This window comes from Homo sapiens, chromosome 7 (assembly GCF_000001405.40).
Source record: "Homo sapiens chromosome 7, GRCh38.p14 Primary Assembly".
Lineage (NCBI taxonomy): Eukaryota > Metazoa > Chordata > Mammalia > Primates > Hominidae > Homo > Homo sapiens.
In genome coordinates this window covers 86,313,449-86,330,893 of record NC_000007.14, presented here as the reverse complement: position 1 = coordinate 86,330,893, position 17,445 = coordinate 86,313,449, and the positions used below count along the sequence as shown (strand labels likewise).

Genomic DNA, 17,445 nt, shown 5'->3' with positions numbered 1-17,445 from the left:
ATAAAATAAAAATCTTCTCATAAAAACAATATGGTCCTTACATATGAATAATCAGAAAGATCAATGGTACCAAAAAGAAAGCATAAAATGGACACAAGTACCTAGGAAAGTATAGTACAGTATATGATAAATTAAATCACTAGTGCAAGTAGGTTTTTTTAAATTATTAATGTTTTAAAGTCATCCGATAGTCATTTATTTCGAAAGGTAAAACTGAACCTATATGTCATCCTTTCACTGAAACACCAAATGAATCAAGGATATAAATGTTTAAAAATAAACCATGCAAGTACTAAAAAACATTATTATCATAAGTGGAAGTTAGAAAGCCTAAGTAAGCCCCCAAAATTTAGAAACAATAAAAGATGAATAAATTTGATAATCATGTCTTATATTTACATATATCTCTTTTAGTCAGATATTACAGTTTTAACATTCCCAAGATATCAAAACATCATTAGCTGATTTGAAATAAAAAACTAAAAAGTAAAATGAAAATAAAAATGTTTATATCTTGAAAATTTATTTCTATTTTCCCATTAAATTGCTCATTCTGCTGCTTATCTACTAGAGTTACCATTTTAAAACCAATGTTTTCTAGCATCTTCAGATATAGTCTCCCTAAATCTCACTATTCAGATAAATAACAACATAAATATATACACCTTTTATGTATCCATAACAATTAAAAATAATCATAATAAAATTAAATAAGCATCCAATTTTTAAAAAACAACCAAACTTGGAAAATTAAGATTGCTATATTACCTGTTGGTAGACATGTCCAGTCCAGATAATCACAAAAGAAGTTGGTAAGTTTAAAGTTATGAGTTTTCTACCACAATAAAATTATTTTGAAAATAGATTAAAAAAAAAAAGAAGAAGAAACCAGGTAGTCAATACATATTGGAAACATTTTTCCTTAATGAAAGATGTTAAGATATTAGTATATTTGTATTATTGCTAATTAAAGCACATGTTATTTTAAGTAAAGCATTCCAATTACAGAAAGGCACAGTGAAATGGGCCTTTCTGTATTCCGGTAGAAAAGAAAAACAACGTGACATTTCTGAAGAGTGATTTGTACCACGACCACTGCTAGTACTCTCATTCACTAACCTGATAATCCCAGTTCTAGAAGATTTTACTAAAATTAATTAAGGATACTACATTCTTTTTTTTTTTTTTGCAAATGGAAGTTCTTTCCAAGGCCGTTTATGGGAGTAAAATTTGGAAATTGTAAAATAAGGAATTGGATGTATTTTGGCCCATCATAACCTATAAAATTATTCAGTCAATACATTAGCATTTGAAGCACATTCAGTGTGATAAGAAAAGTGATTTCATATGCATAGAAAGATGTAAAAAATGTAAGTGCTATAATGATATCTGAATAATGGGAATCAGATTAATTTCAGATGTTCTTATTTATGCTTTTATGTATTTTTAAGTTCTATATAAAAATACCTTTGTGGGTTTTAAGAACACTAATAAAGACATGTGGAAGTCAATGGGATTTAAAGAATAGAAGATGATAATAACTATTGCTTTGTTAATATTCTGTGAGATACTTGGTAAATCACTTAATTTGCATCTGTTTGTCCATCTAGAATGTCAATACTCAAAGACCTTCTTTGTTAGCCATTGTGCACTACTGAGTTGGAATTTAACTGTTTAAAACAGGAATTAGCATCACTCCACTTTAGTGTCTTTGGTGTCAATGCATAGTTGAGAATATAAACCAGGCTAGCATGAGCTGTGTCAGTTAAGAAATGACAAAGAACACTCTTAAAAATTTCCATACTGACTTGAATATATGCTTGAGGGCAAACTGAGGAATGAACACACACACACACACATACGCACACACACACACACAGTAGCTTTTGAAATGGAGGGGTTATTTATATGTTAATTGTCAACACTCAACAGATTGAAAAGTCTTTAACTTTGACCCAGTGCCACCTTAGAAATTTTCTTTGCTTGAATGTTACTGAGTCTTACAATTCTTTCATGACTAGTAGTTTCAAAGGCAGTTTATCAAAGCTTCAGTAATATGATCCTATGTATAGAATTGACTACAAATAAGGAAATAGAAATTGGACTATGAAAAAAGACCAGTTGAGTCTTACTAATGAAAGCTTATAAGAATACGTGAAGCTCTATTTGCAAAATATTAGCAAATTTGCCCAATGTTCTCTCTTAAATTTAAATTTTCCTGAAAAAAGTGTCTATAATAATACAATCTTGACATTGCTATTTGTTGAAGGATTCTCATCTTCCTTCCTGCTCAAAACAAATACCCACACAATAATAGAAATATATGTACAAGGGCTTTCTAATTATGTCCAGTATTCATAGTATTCATTAACACATATTAAACAATTACTATGGGTGATATTATATATTAGATGTTAAATGTGTTTAACATATAATTCTAAACATTCTGCAAGTCTGTTGGTCTTCAGTTCTTTCTGCAGTTATTATCATTTTCTATATTTATTAATTTTATTTCTTTCCTAAAACACATAACATCTAAGTAACAATTTTCTTAATGTACAATTGATTCATTTTCTTATGATTCTCTTAAAAGTCTTTTGCAATTTGATCTCTTCCATTTTCAGATTACAGAACTACTTATTTTTATGTGACATCCTTCTGGAACAATTTATTGATCTTTTCTAATTTTTTTACTTTGGATCTCTCAACATCCTTTGATACAAGCAGTTACTTTCTGCCTCTAAAACTATTTTTATCTTTAGTTTCATGAGTCTAAGTTTACAGATACTCTTTTGTCTTTATATATATTGCTTGTATTCTTTTCAATTTAATCCTCTTTTTTTTCTCAGGTATTGATTATGATTGTACTCAAGGTTTAATCTTAAACATCTGGAAATTTATTGCTCTATCAATGATTTGGGAGAAATTATCCAAGTAAACCTTGAAAATGTTCAAATCTGTATCTTTAAACTCAACTAGTGGCATTCAAATGGCACTCTTAACTCTCAAAATATCTTCAAGGCATGTTTATTTGTGTAATTTTATGATTCTTGAAACTTATTGGAAACTAAACTCATCTTAATCCTAGAGCAGTCAGCTCTACCCAAGATATAATTGAACATCAATTATATTTTTGATTCTTAGTTTTCTATTCTATGTTTATTTCTTCTTAACCACTTTTTTCTTCATAAATCCATATTTAATTTTAATAATTCCCCAAGTATTTATATACTATATGATAAAGCATATTCTATGAATTTTATATATTTTTTTCCTTCTTGTTTATATTCACCACCCAAATCTTTTTGTCAACCTTTCTTTTTCCCTTTTACTTTAATAGCTCTTAAATATAGCTGTGCAGGGCCGGGCGCGGTGGCTCACGCCTGTAGTCCCAGCACTTTGGGAGGCCGAGGCGGGTGGATCATGAGGTCAGGAGATCGAGACCATCCTGGCTAACAAGGTGAAACCCCGTCTCTACTAAAAATACAAAAAATTAGCCGGGCGCGGTGGCGGGCACCTGTAGTCCCAGCTACTCGGGAGGCTGAGGCAGGAGAATGGCTTGAACCCGGGAGGCGGAGCTTGCAGTGAGCCGAGATTCCGCCACTGCAGTCCGCAGTCCGGCCTGGGCGACAGAGCGAGACTCCGTCTCAAAAAAAAAAAAAAAAAAAAAAATATATATATATATATATATATATATATAGCTGTGCATTAGAAACATTGGGATGACTTGGATTTTAAAAAAGTTTTATTAAGCTATAACTTATATAAAGTGCATAGCCCCCTTGAGTATACAGCTTGGTGAATATTTACAAAAGCATTGACCCATGTAACCTTAGCCAGTTGAAAATACACAGTTGCAACATCACAGAATGCTCCCTTAAGCCACCTTTTAGCTGATAGCTTTAAAAATACCAACACTTCAGCCCCAGCCCTAGAGATTTTGATTTAATTGGTCTGAACTGGGTCTTGAACATTGGTATTTACCTTTCCACACAAATATATTTAATAACTTAAAAATGTGGAGGAAGAAGAAATATGATGGAAATATCTTGTTGACAGAGCAGAGTTGAGAGGCAGAACACGTGTGGATGAATTTGAAAGAGAATAATGTCTTCAGGACATTTTGAGGAGGAGGCAGGAAAGGAAATAAAAAGACAAAATTTGAGGTGAAGATGGTGGCATTTCATCAGATTATATAAGACAACTCTGTCATTTGTATTATTTAAAATATTATTGGTAAATCTGTCAAGAATAATTTAGACCGAAATGGAGAGAAAAATATGTTTGTGTGCATAATAAGATTTCCCAGGGGATTATTAGAAATATATTGCATTGCCTGTAGCATAGTTGTATCTGAGGTTTTTACACCTATTTGTAATAGGCAGTCATCTTATAGAATAACTTACATAACAAGCACTTGATAAATATTTTTAAATAAATTAATGGTATGGCCAGCTTATATTTACTATGAGTGCTGACATGTTTAAAAATGAAACTATCATTTTACTATTTATATTTAATTTGCCCTATCACATGTATATAGGGCAAATGAAATATATTTACATTTTCTCGCCTTTCATTGCCATCTTTTTGATGAACTATTTTATTTTCTTTCTCTTTTAACTTGTTAGTGGTTAGTCTATAGATTGAAACATATGTGACATATAAATTAATACATTTGCATTTCCTGGATAATGTAAAGAAGGTATAACCCATGGCATTTATACTTTGCTTCTGCCTTTTTTTTTTACATTCTTGTCATGTAATTTAATTTCACATATGCTTTAAAGCCCATGTTATGGACTGAATGTTTGGATCCCCTGAAATTCATATGTTGAAGACATAACCTTCAATGAAATGGTTTTTGAAGATGGGGCAATTGGGCAATAATCCAGATTAGATTAGTTTATGGGGTTTGGACCCCTATGATTAGGTTATTAGCTTTATAAGAAGAGGAAGAAAGTGAGATTACGTTCTCCATGTTTATACACTAAGAAAAGGCCATGTGAGAATTTAGTGAAAATCTGGCAATCTGTGACCCACAAAGAGAGCCCTCACCAGAAACTGAATCTGCCAGCACTTCGATCTTGGACTTCCCAGCCTTCAACATTGTGAGAAATAAATTTCTGTTGTTTAAGCCACCCATTTTATGGTATTTTGTTATGGCAGCCTGAACTGACTGATATACTCCACAAGATTGATTGTTATCATTCTGTATATAATTATATTCCTCTAAATTTAGTCAACTATTTCTCCTTTCTGTTGCTCTATGTTCTCTCCTGAACTTTCAAGCTTCCATCTAGGATCACTTTTCCTCTGTCTAACAAACACCTTTAAGTATTGCCTTTAATGCAAATATGCTAATGGCAACTAAAATATATACTTTGTATTATCTGAAAATATTTTTGGCTTTATTTTTGAAGGATATTTTCACTGAGTATAGAGTTAGAACTTGGCAAAGCATTATCATTCCATTGTCTACTAGTCTCCATTGTTTATAATGAGAAGTCAGTTTTATTCCTCCATTTTTAATACCTCTTTTCTCGAGTTGCTTTTGAGTTTACCCTTTGTTTTTGATTTTCATCAGTATTCTATAATGTGCCTATGTATACTTTATTTCCTATTAAATTCTAATGAGGATTAGAATTTATAAAACTTCTTAAATTCATGTGTTGCTGCTTTTCATTATATTTAGAAAATTCTAAATCATATCTTCAAATATCACTTCTTCCTCATTATCTCTCTTCTGTTTCTGGTCTTCCAATTACACATGCATTAAGCTTTTTTTTTTTTTTTTTTTTTTTTTATTATACTCTAAGTTTTAGGGTACATGTGCTTTTATCCCATAATTGTATGTTATTTGCTCTTTTCTGGATTTCTCATTTTCTGTCTCTCTGTGCTTCAGTTTGTATTTGTTTGAACTAGTTTCTAGTTCAAAAACACATTCTTCCACAGTGTCTAATCTGCTTTTAAATATATATTACATTCCTAATTTATTTTTATTTTATTACAGCTCTAGAACATAAATTTCATTCTGTAATTTTTGACATTATCAGTTCTGTCTTTTAATTATTTTGTAACTTCATTTCTTATACATATAATTTTAAGCCTGTATCTGTTAAGCCAATGCCTATAAATTCCTTTAGTTTATTTTGATAGACTCTGTCTTGGTTGGTTATTGTCTTCTTTCATGCCTTTTGAAAAATTGAATGTGTATAAAAACTTGTTGATATATTCGAGGCTCTGGATGATATTATCTTCTTTTAGAGATGATTTGCTTTCAAAAAGAATTAACTTTTGCCTCTTTCAGGCAGTTGTGACTGGGATAGATTATTTTAATCCAATCAAGGATGGCAATGACTCAAAATTGGGTCTTACTCAGTCATTCTCTATTTCTGGCTAACGTTTACTGTTATGTGGTAACCTTTTAGGCTTCTAAGCTGACAGCTTATTTTGAAAGTCCTGAACAGCAAAGTTTGTGCTCTAGCCCAAAGTAACTGCCCAAACAAAAGTTCTGCCAAGTTTTTCAGATGCTTCTTTTGAATCATCAAATGCCTCCACAGCAGAGGTTCTCAACTGGGGAAAATTTTGCCTGTCAAGGGACATATGACAATATCTGGAGACATTTTTTATTGCCACAACTGTCATATACTACTTGTGTATAGAAGATAGAGTCTCACCATGCTGCTAAACATTCTGTAATGCACAGGACTGCCCTACATAACGAAGAATTATCAAATCCAAGATGCTTGTGGTGCTATGGTTAAGGCCCTAATATTTTTAGAGGAAAAGCATTGCACATAGTGCACACTTTTTGGGGCATTTCTTCTCTATAGGATTCTTACTCTTCAAGTTTTTACTACTTTAATATTTTCAATCACATGTTTTTACGTGGTTAAAATTTTTGGAATTTTTCAAGATTTTCAAGTGTTCTTTCCAGAGGAGTGACTCTCAATTAGGCTAATCTGCCATTGCTGAAGTAATAAAATCACAGATTCAGTTGATTTCTGTCCATTCACAATTTCTTTGCAAAATAAAAGCAGAGAGGAGTATAGCACCAAAGATGGATGATTGATTTAATTCAGATCTAGATTTATTGGCTGTTATGGAATAATACATGAGAGAAAGAGTTTATGGGGATAGAGAATCTAGTACTGACCAAGCTAATTTTGGATTGTAGGATGGAGAAGAACATCCATAATAATCAGAAGGGTGATACTTGGTGTTATGTTCCTACAATAATATTCATATTTAAGATGCAATATCTCAATACTTGTTTATAGCTCAGATATTTTTAATGACAAAAGTGTCTGGCTTATAAATTGGAAGTTATCCCTCAATAATGGTGGACACTTAAATCCCATCAGGGAGTTTCAAGTGCTGAGATAGAAGAAATTCAATTTAATTTCTGTTGACCCTCAAATTTAGATGTAGTTTTTTTGCATTTATTTTCAAAAGAACATCATTAGAAATTAGTCCCTCAGGTACAGTGCCATAATGTACATTGTCAGTCTCTCACATAGATTCACTGCTCCAAGAAATGTTAAAGTGGTCAGTGCCAATTCCATTTCTCCCGTGAGTTCTCTTCCAGTTTTATTACAAATGTTGGGTATATAAGAACCTAGCCTTAAAAATGGGACTAGAATTATAGATGGCCAATGCTAGAAGTAGTGATGCATTTTGAGATCTATTGAAGAGCGGTAAAGATTAAAGCATGATTTGTACAGTTATGAACACAGCAAATGCCCAGTTCATTAAGCAAATCAGAGTAGCAAATCAAAGAAAAATAAGCTTAAATGAGCAGAAATTATCCACAGGAAATTTACCCAATAAAAGTTGCAGTTTGAGAAAAACAGAAAGCTCTATTACACACATTTGTCATCTACTTAATTTTTTGGTAAATAATTAAAAATGTAACATCTACTTTTGGTGTTAATAAAGTAGCTGAGGCTATACAGTAAAGTAGGGTACAATTATTGCTTTTAATGTTTTCTCATATTAAATAAAATACAATGAATTTGAGAACCAAGATGAAACTTATTTCATACTACAAAGCAGTACTCTCTTTTTTTTTTTTGGTGGTACAAAATAGAAATGATTGAATTGCTTTTTCTTCAAATCATTTTCGAAGGTTAATAGGGAAGCTGACATTGTAAGCATAGATGGGAATGTTATTTAGACATTTGTAATCAACAATGAGGAGTCATTCAAACTGACCTGACCAAAATAGGAAGTTTCTACCAACTCATTCTCCAAAATAGAAAAAAAAAATCTAGATCTAGATCAATTTTCAGTTATTTTGTCATTTATCATGATGTTTGATTATTTATTGCCCTGTAGGGTTTTTTCCCCTTTTCCCTACCATGGTGTCTTTTCAGCTCTTTAATGTTCTACATAATTTCCATTCAGTTGACTTATATAAAATTAGGAATATTTATATAATGGACTGCTCTTAAACATTAAATATGGGCCGGGCGCGGTGGCTCACGCCTGTAATCCCAGCACTTTGGGAGGCCGAGGCGGGCGGATCACGAGGTCAGGAGATCGAGACCATCCCGGCTAAAACGGTGAAACCCCGTCTCTACTAAAAATACAAAAAATTAGCCGGGCGTAGTGGCGGGCGCCTGTAGTCCCAGCTACTTGGGAGGCTGAGGCAGGAGAATGGCGTGAACCCGGGAGGCGGAGCTTGCAGTGAGCCGAGATCCCGCCACTGCACTCCAGCCTGGGCGACAGAGCGAGACTCCGTCTCAAAAAAAAAAAAAAAAAAAAAAAAAAAAACATTAAATATGATGTTTTTGCAAGATATTTAATGACATGAAGTAAAATTCAGGACATATTTTTAAGTGAAAAATGTTGCTTACCAAACAGAAAATATAGTATGCAAAATAACCAAGATCTATAGAGCATATCTTATGTGCATTGCACTATTTGCTTTACATACAGTGACTTAATAAATGAATATTTGTCAATTGCTTTGACAATATTTTTATAGTGATTATTTCTGAAGTAGTATTGCAGCTGACTTTTAATCGCTTGCTTGTGATTTTCTTTCTTTTCACGTTTTTCTGCAATATTAGACTTGTCTTTAAAATTTAGAGTATTGGCTGTGAATGGGTAAAGAGTATAATTAATGCATATTTTATTAGAAATTCTGGCTTAAAATAAATTTAGAAGGAAGTTTAAAACATAAGCTGAACTTAGTAGTAATTGAACTTGTCTTTCACTTTTATTCTTATATGTCTCCCCTATTTATTTAGATGACCAAATGTCAGATATTAGATGATAAGCTGTATTATTGTTGTTTATAATAAACAAAGTGGAGAGTAAAACAAAACAAAAAGCCCCTCATCTGGTATAATGCTCAAGATAAAAATGTTGATCCATTGAAAGTAGCCTCCCATTACTTTTCTCAGCCTTTTTTTTTCCCAGTGATTTATTGAGAGCTGTTCAACTCTTACGAATTTTTTTGGTGCCCTTTCATTTGTTTTATACCCACTGGAATAAAAGGAAATGCTTTACATTAAGGAAACAAACAAACATAAAAGACACTTAGAAATAGCAAGCTATTTTCTATATATGTCTGAAAACAATTCAGAAATTATGAACATTTTCTATATTTAATATGGTATCCATGGTGATGGGAAGTCCCAATAAGAGCAAGACATTTATTGAGTAGGGCATTGTGTTCAGTGCTTGAGATACAAAGATGACTGGAGTGGTCTGTGCTTACTAAAGCTCATCCATTTGAAGAGTTTTTTTTGTTCACATAAACCCCAGCCTGTTGTCCTCCCTCAGATCGCTGAAGCATCAAATGCCTTTGGTTCTATTTCAGACATTGAACACTTACTGGCTCTGAATGCCTCTGAGTCTGTACCAAACACTGAAAGCAATCATAGCTATTAGCAGAAAGCAGACTTTCAGAATTCTATTCTTTGTATAGCTCCAAGTGTGATTACAGTGTTTCTGGTGAGTGCTGTTACCAATAAGTAAGAGCTGTCCCAACATTAAATTGCTAAGGTAAAGGATCCAAAAACTTCTCACTAGAACATAGTAGTTTGAAACTGTCAGATGTCTTTAAGCCATGCATGACAGTTAGCCACCTGGTATGTAAAGATAGAGCCCACAAAAGTATACCTGTGTCAAGCACACTTGATTGCCTGATTTCATAGAAATAAAGCATAATGGAATTCTTGCCTAATCTCCTATTACTATAGCCTTTGTGTAAGTATTTCAGTCAGGATAGGCAGTATATCAACAGGCATATATTTTCCATTTGAATACCTGAGTGCTAAATTTATATTCCTTTTGTATTTAGTGAAAGAGATTTCCTGGCCTAATTTGTTCAGCAAGGATATTTCTCACTTGTTTTTCATTTTTGAATAGGAGGATCCTATTGTTAGAAGAAATGGAAGTTAATTAATCATATTTTAACAAGCTTTTTATTGTGTAACTCCATTTCATTTGAAAAGCATTAAGTGGGGTTGAGGTAGGACCAGGGTGAACATTGCAAACAAAGCTTATTGTTTATGACAATACTGAATACTATGAAAATCATCTGAAGGTTTCAGTCTGTTTTATACTGCTAACATTTTATGTTTGATTACAGCTGTCAGAACAACATTCAAATTAAATGCAATGGGAGGTTATTTAGAAATCTAGAAGTATGTGCAGTCAACCAGCACCCAGCATTGCTGCAGAAGGCAAGAGTGCTAATTATTTTAGTTTCTACTGAAACTTAACAATGCTGTTTTATTATAAAATATTGAATATATATACTTGATTTTAATACTGTAAATATATTAGCGCCTTAATTTAACTTTTGACTCAAAGAATCAAGTGTAAAAAGGGAATTATTCCTACTAATTCCTAATTTAAGAAAATTAAAATAATTTAATATAAATGGTAATTATAAAACATTTCAAAATTCAATCTCACTGAAGTTCTCACACCATTATAAACATAATTATTATATTATATATTATATTATTAAAATATCATTGTACATTTTCATACATGCTTATATTTTATTTCACTTGAGAACTAAGTGAATCTCCATGGAATCTATCCATGGAATCTTTATTCAAAGTTATGGCTGCACAAAAATCTTCATTCATCAATTCAAATATTTAAAGAGTTGTCATATATAAAAGGAATGAATCATATTCTATATGGAATCTAGTACTTGAACCAGCATACTGAAAATTAGTAGGTGCTCAATATTTGTTTGTGTGAAACTAAGATAAGCGTGTGAATGCTGCAGAATGATGGATTTTGTATCCATAATGCAAGGAAATAAGGCTGCCTAAAGATGAGATAGATCACCCCCAGGAAAGAGTATCTTTTGGGAAATTTCAGGGAACTCAATGCATATATCTAATGCATCATTTATGCACATGACTTTAGATTCTTCTCCATTCCTGAGAAGTTTTAAACACACACACACACACATACACACACTAATTTATACAATTGTCTAAATTTGTCATATCAATTTACTTTTTACTCTAGCATTCTTAAATATCAGTAAGAATACATTTCCTCTCTCTCCCTGTCTCTCTCCCCTCCTTCTTCCCCCTCCCTCTCTCTCTCTCTCTCTCCCTCTCTCTCCGCCTTCCTCCCTCTGTTTAGTAGTGTCTAGAAAAGTTTGTGTTTCCTTGATAAAAAGGCATGGGAAATTCACAGATGTGCTTACCATAATACTCCAAGCTTTTATTTGGTATTGTCAAGTCACAATCTGGGTAGGCTTATGATCATGGTGTACATGATCTCTGTATGACCTCTCAGGCTACGTCATAAGAGTTGATACAGCCTTTGCCTAGCTTTCTTGGGACTCTTGCTCTTTGAAGTTATTCATCATTCCATAAAGAAACTCAACCCAAGGACCACTGGGAAAGAAAGAGTGCAGCTGACCCACTGCCCTCACTGAATTCCTAGCCAACAGGCAGCTCCAACCTGGTAGCTATGTGAGTGAGTCATCTTAAGAGTAGATCCTCCGATCCCCAGTTGACCCATCTCACCTGAAGCTGCTGGAGCAGACAGTCTGTCCACATCATCACTACCTGACCAAATTGCAGATTTGTGAGCAATTGCTCACAAGTAATTGAAAATTGTTGTTTTAAGCCTCTAAGTTTTGAGGTAGTTTGTTATGCACCAATTAACATGATTTACTTGTTAACAAATAATTTGATCAATTACTAATTGCACCATAAATAGCACCATTTCTGTAGCTATATCTTATTATGGATTGCTATGAATAATGCATTTTCTCTTCATGTCAGATATAATAAAAATTGGCAATATCTGTTCTTCATGATATGCACATTCACATATGTAGGGTATTTTGTGGCATAAAGAGCTTTTTATGAAAATTTCATGAAGTCTCCTTCTTACAAGCTATGAGACATTGAATGAGTTGTTTAAATGGTCAACAGAGCCATTCTTAGGACTCTTACATAGGCTATTTAGAAGTTCAAATTAGATAAGGTATAGGAAAGCTTTACCTGAACTCTAAGAAGCTATAGAAATACATTTCTATTAAAATTAATATTATTAGAAAGTTACTCTATTAATTTTAGTTTTTACTAGGTCCTTTTAAAAGTCCAGGCTCAGAACTGATTTGAAGAGTCTAAATGAATTAGGCCTAGACTAGAGCAAAGAGTCTTGAGTTGTTTACAGGAAGATGCAAAAAGTTTTGCTTTTTCATGATAAAGGAAATTACTTCTTAAAACCTTTATATGTCACTTTGGCTATATTCTGAAAATAAAAAGCAGGAGGTTCAAAGGGCATTTTGAATTTTGCTGCACTAAATTTAATCCTGCCTTAAGAATTCCAAGCAGTTTTCTGTTTCTTAAAAGCATTTACAATTATGGGACAACATTTTTATATATTTTAGTAATATACTCTTTCAGTTTATTTCCCAAAAGGGAGTTGAAAAAGTGCTAGCTTCTTAGTAAAAAATTTGCTTCTAAAAATACATCTTATCTTTTAGAAAATGTACATCATTTAGGCATTTTCCAAATGAAAAAGAAAAAACATTAAGTTGCATGAGAAAATAATGAATATTATAAATATTTATTATTGAAGATACCTGATTGCTGCTCTAGTTTATGTGAATTTTGTTCCTATTAGGAAGTTACAGAATATTTTCACTTATTACTTATTTATTTACTCAGCATATTTCAGGAATGTTGGATGTAGATTAGATGGCTATTTTAATAGGCAGTTTCACTCTTTTTCTGGGATGATGTTCAAATAGCAGAATTATCAGAAATGGACATGGCCCATATAACAATGAGTATTTCTTCGGAGATGGAATATGCAACTCTGCAGTTTATTCTGAATTTTTCAAAGAAGTTTCTAAAGGGTATTTATTATTTTGGTGACCTAAAATTCTGAAGATACAAACAAGCTCAAATTGACAATCTCTTAAATTTAGTAGGAGCTAAACAGTCCATTTACTCATTTATTCATCACATATGTTATTCTGTATCTCCTCTGTGCCAGTCACTGAACAAGGTGCTGAGGATATGACAATGCCCTTGACTAAATCTTGCCTCAAGGAGCTTGTAATTTTGAGGTGAAAGCAGCTATGAATATATCACAAGGTATTCATCCATTTGTTTGCCTGGGCCTGGCTGTAATCAAGGATTGGGAGGCCTTCCCTTCACTAATAGATAGAATTCCTTCTCCCCAAGTGGTCTTATCCTAGAGTGTCAATGCCAAAGAGTATTTTACTTCATGACTTTCTCTTTAAATGATCATATGTCTTAAAAACTAATAAAACACTGTTCTGTTGCTTTATGTGCAAAGTCCTGATCTTTGTAATTAGCTGTACATGGTTGTGTAACATCTTTGCCTTATACTTAGTGAGATTATTTTAAGCCAGCAAATTTTTTTCACTATTTCCATTTTTTATTATCTTATTTATCACCTCTATGATGAATAGATGTGTTATTTATCTCTGTCTAGGGATGTTATTTATCTCTTATTTGTGTTTTTCTCATGTTTAAATATTTTAAGAGCATGTAATTTTTTTGTGAGAGTGGGGAATACTGTGCTTGATATCTGTACACTTCACATTTACTTCACAGAGAATCTTCCAAAGTCCTGAGATACATCTATTTTAATTTTCTAGATCGTCCTTGGTCCTAAACATAATGTTTTTGGGGAAGTAGTATTACACATAAAGCATGTGGACTGGTCTATTATTTAGTAATGTTTTAGTTCCAGATGGAAGAGAACTCACCCAGTTGCTTAATGCAAAAAAAGGCATTTATTGACTCATATAACTGAAAAATCCAGGGATAGGACTAGTTTCAAATGAGATTTGGTTCAGGATCAAAGTAATATTGTCTCTGTTTTCTTCTATGTGCTAATTTCAGAGTGAGGATCTGGTGATTATTTTAGATTAATCAAGTCCTATTTCTGGATATGAGAGTTGAATCAACTCCTGAAAACTATAAGTATTGAGAATGGAAGATTAGCTGGTTCTCTTTTATCAGGAAAAGTATGAATGTTGGATACCAGCAGGCAAAAATCACATCACTTATTTCTGCACCAATTTGCAGTTTTCTCTACTTATTCTTCTAGTAAATTAGTGGAAAAACAGGTCAATTTATAGAATGAAAAATTCTGTCCGAAATATTGATGAATAAAGCTACTGGAATATCTATTTTTTTTGTAGCTGGAAACATTCAATCCATACATGCCTATATTCAGGGGTAGAAATTGCGATTTCCAATACATTTGCTCTTCTACATAGATAAAGCCTCCAGATGAGTTCACATGATGGACTGATACTAAACAGAGCAAAACATTAATTTAGGTAAGGATATCAAATCTTCCCACTGATTTAAGTTCTAGAAATAGACAATAGGAAATTTTTCATAGTATTCTTTAACAGAAGGCACAACAGAGCATCTCAACTAAAGTATGCAAATCTCTTTCAGACCAGTTATCCTCCAGCAGATGTCTGAGTCAATTGATGCCCTTTCTACCAGGAAGACTTCAAAAGGAAAAAATGCATAGTCTTTCCCTTCCACCTGGTCTCAATATAAAAGTTAAAGAACAGCTGTCTAGGATAGGACTCTTGTTAGTTAGGTCATATTTCTCTATAAAAAAATCAACTCCATGAGGCTCTTTTGTAATTAGTTCTTGAACTGCATTACAGGGTCCTTTGAGAACAAGGATCTCTAATGCTCTCTGAGTATGTCAAGCTCTAGGTACTCTCTTGAGAATTGAAAGTCATCAGAGAGTTTGCTAATCCTAAAGACATAACTAAGTCAGTCAACATGCAATCATAAAATTCCAATATCCAAAAAAGTATTTTTATCTCCATAAAAATGTTTTTAGTTTTTCATATATTCAAGTACATATTCGGTGCCTAAAAAAACTCTCTGTTAGGCACTTGAGTTATAGAGGTCACTATTTTCATGGAGCTTATATGCTGTGAGAAGACAGATAATAATGAGCAGGCAATCTCAGAAAGACACAAATGCTATGTAGAAAGTAAAATAGAGTGATGTTGCAAAGAGTAACTGGATAGGAAATAGTAATTTAGGATAATATTCATTAAAGGCTTTTCGTAGCAGGTGATATCTCAGCCAAGATTTGAATAATGAGAAGTAGCCAGCCATGCAAAATCTGAGAATTAAATATCTTAGGATATATTTCACAATAAATAAATATGCCCAATGATTTGGCAATCTAAAGATACAGTCAGATATTAACATTGTTTATATGAAAACTTGATTAGGTAAAAAGAAATCTAATTCCAATATTCTAGGCTCTTTTAAAATATGGCATTATTACAAAGTTATTTAAACAAACACTAGTGTGAAGTATTTGATGTCATTTATAGTCAAAAGTAGAAGATTAGTTCCTGAGCTATGCTTGTGATACAAATCTATTGTTCCAAACCCTGGTTTTGGTCTCTGATAAGATTAAGCCTATATGTCTTAATCAATGTCTCTTTCTTACTAAGAAGTCACTTCTTAAATGCTGTACTAATTTGATAGCTTTCTTTCCCTCAGATATCCTGAAAAATCTTTAGTCATTCGAATAACTTTCAGAGACCTTGAGATATATGATTTAGACAGGTTTAAAAGAGATAAGTTTCTCCTTGAACTTACTTTGACTGTCAGTATTATAATCACTAAGTCTGACTCTATATATAATGGAAGTGATGACTTCGCTGATAAGTTTCAGTTACAACGAAGATGTCTGCAATTCTAAAAGTGAAGTCCAAATAATTCTCCTCAGTGCGCACAAAATGAACTTCTGAAACATTAGTGGATATGCTGGTATTTGCCTTTGTGGCATTATATCTGAGAAATCAGGGGTTTGATTATCTTTTCTTGATATGCTAACACGTCCAATAATCCAAAATACCAACGTGGAAAAAGTCAGAGAAATAGCAAGCCTCAAAAAGTAATTACATACAGTCATGTACAAACTTGGAAAATTAACTTCTGTTTTTAAAAAACATTTTCTCTTGAAATATTATGGTTATATAAAGTGCCAAAAAGAGGTTTCATATTAAATCAAAAAGCAAAAGGTAAATGTAAATTAGGAAATGTTGCTGCCTGTGATAGCACAACTGTAATTAATTAGGTTTCTATCACTCTTAGACATTTTTCTAGGTGCTTTAAAGATTTCATTTTATTTAGTTCTCAAAATATCCTGATTAGCCCGATTTTATAGAAGAAACTGAGGGTAAGAGTTACACAAGGTCATTGTTGTAGGCTGAATAATCTTGAGGTAGAATTAAAGATATTCAGGTCCTACTCCCTGTAAGAAGCTATAAAAGGCATGGAAACAGATTCTCCCCTGGAACCTCCAGAGGAGTGCTGACACCTTGGTCTGGGCCCAGTGAAAAGGATTTTGCACTTATGACATCCAGGTCTGCAAGGGAGTCAGTGTATGTTATTCTAAGCCACCAAGTTTGCGGTAATTTGTTAGAGAAGATAATGTATTAGGAAACTAATATAATCATAAAGATAAAAATGTTGATACCAGATTGGAACCAATCTGTCTCCTCATTTTCTAATATATCACTTTGTTATGTAGCTTTCTAGAAGAGACTTTAGAGTTGCAAATGTAAAGCAATTGGCTAGGCAAATTCTTCATTTGAATTTAAAATTTCGTGAATTTGTAGATCAAGTAAACACATTCACTTAAAAATATCAGCTCCTTCACCTAAAGTTGAATTATTTATAAAGTTTTTGAAAGGTGGAACCCATGCCTTGGCAAATTATTGACACTGGTTATCTCCTTAGATTACCTTTAATAAAAGCACAATGATAAGACTTTTTAATCGGCTGTATAGGCATAATTTTCAGTCTATTCTATTTCTATGGATAAATCATGGACCAACATTTTGCATATGAAATAAGTGTTGTGGCACAATTATTCCACCAATAACTACTGTTATGTTGTATTTTTTGA

The 17,445-nt window shown here is 32.6% G+C and overlaps 1 annotated feature.

The window, feature by feature from the left end:
- Positions 1,409-2,194: an enhancer, noted in NCBI's record as "OCT4-NANOG hESC enhancer chr7:85958016-85958801 (GRCh37/hg19 assembly coordinates)". NCBI's record gives its function as "activates a minimal SCP1, AML or CMV promoter by ChIP-STARR-seq in naive H9 embryonic stem cells {active_cell/tissue: H9 hESC(naive)}" and the evidence as "EXISTENCE:reporter gene assay evidence [ECO:0000049][PMID:30033119]".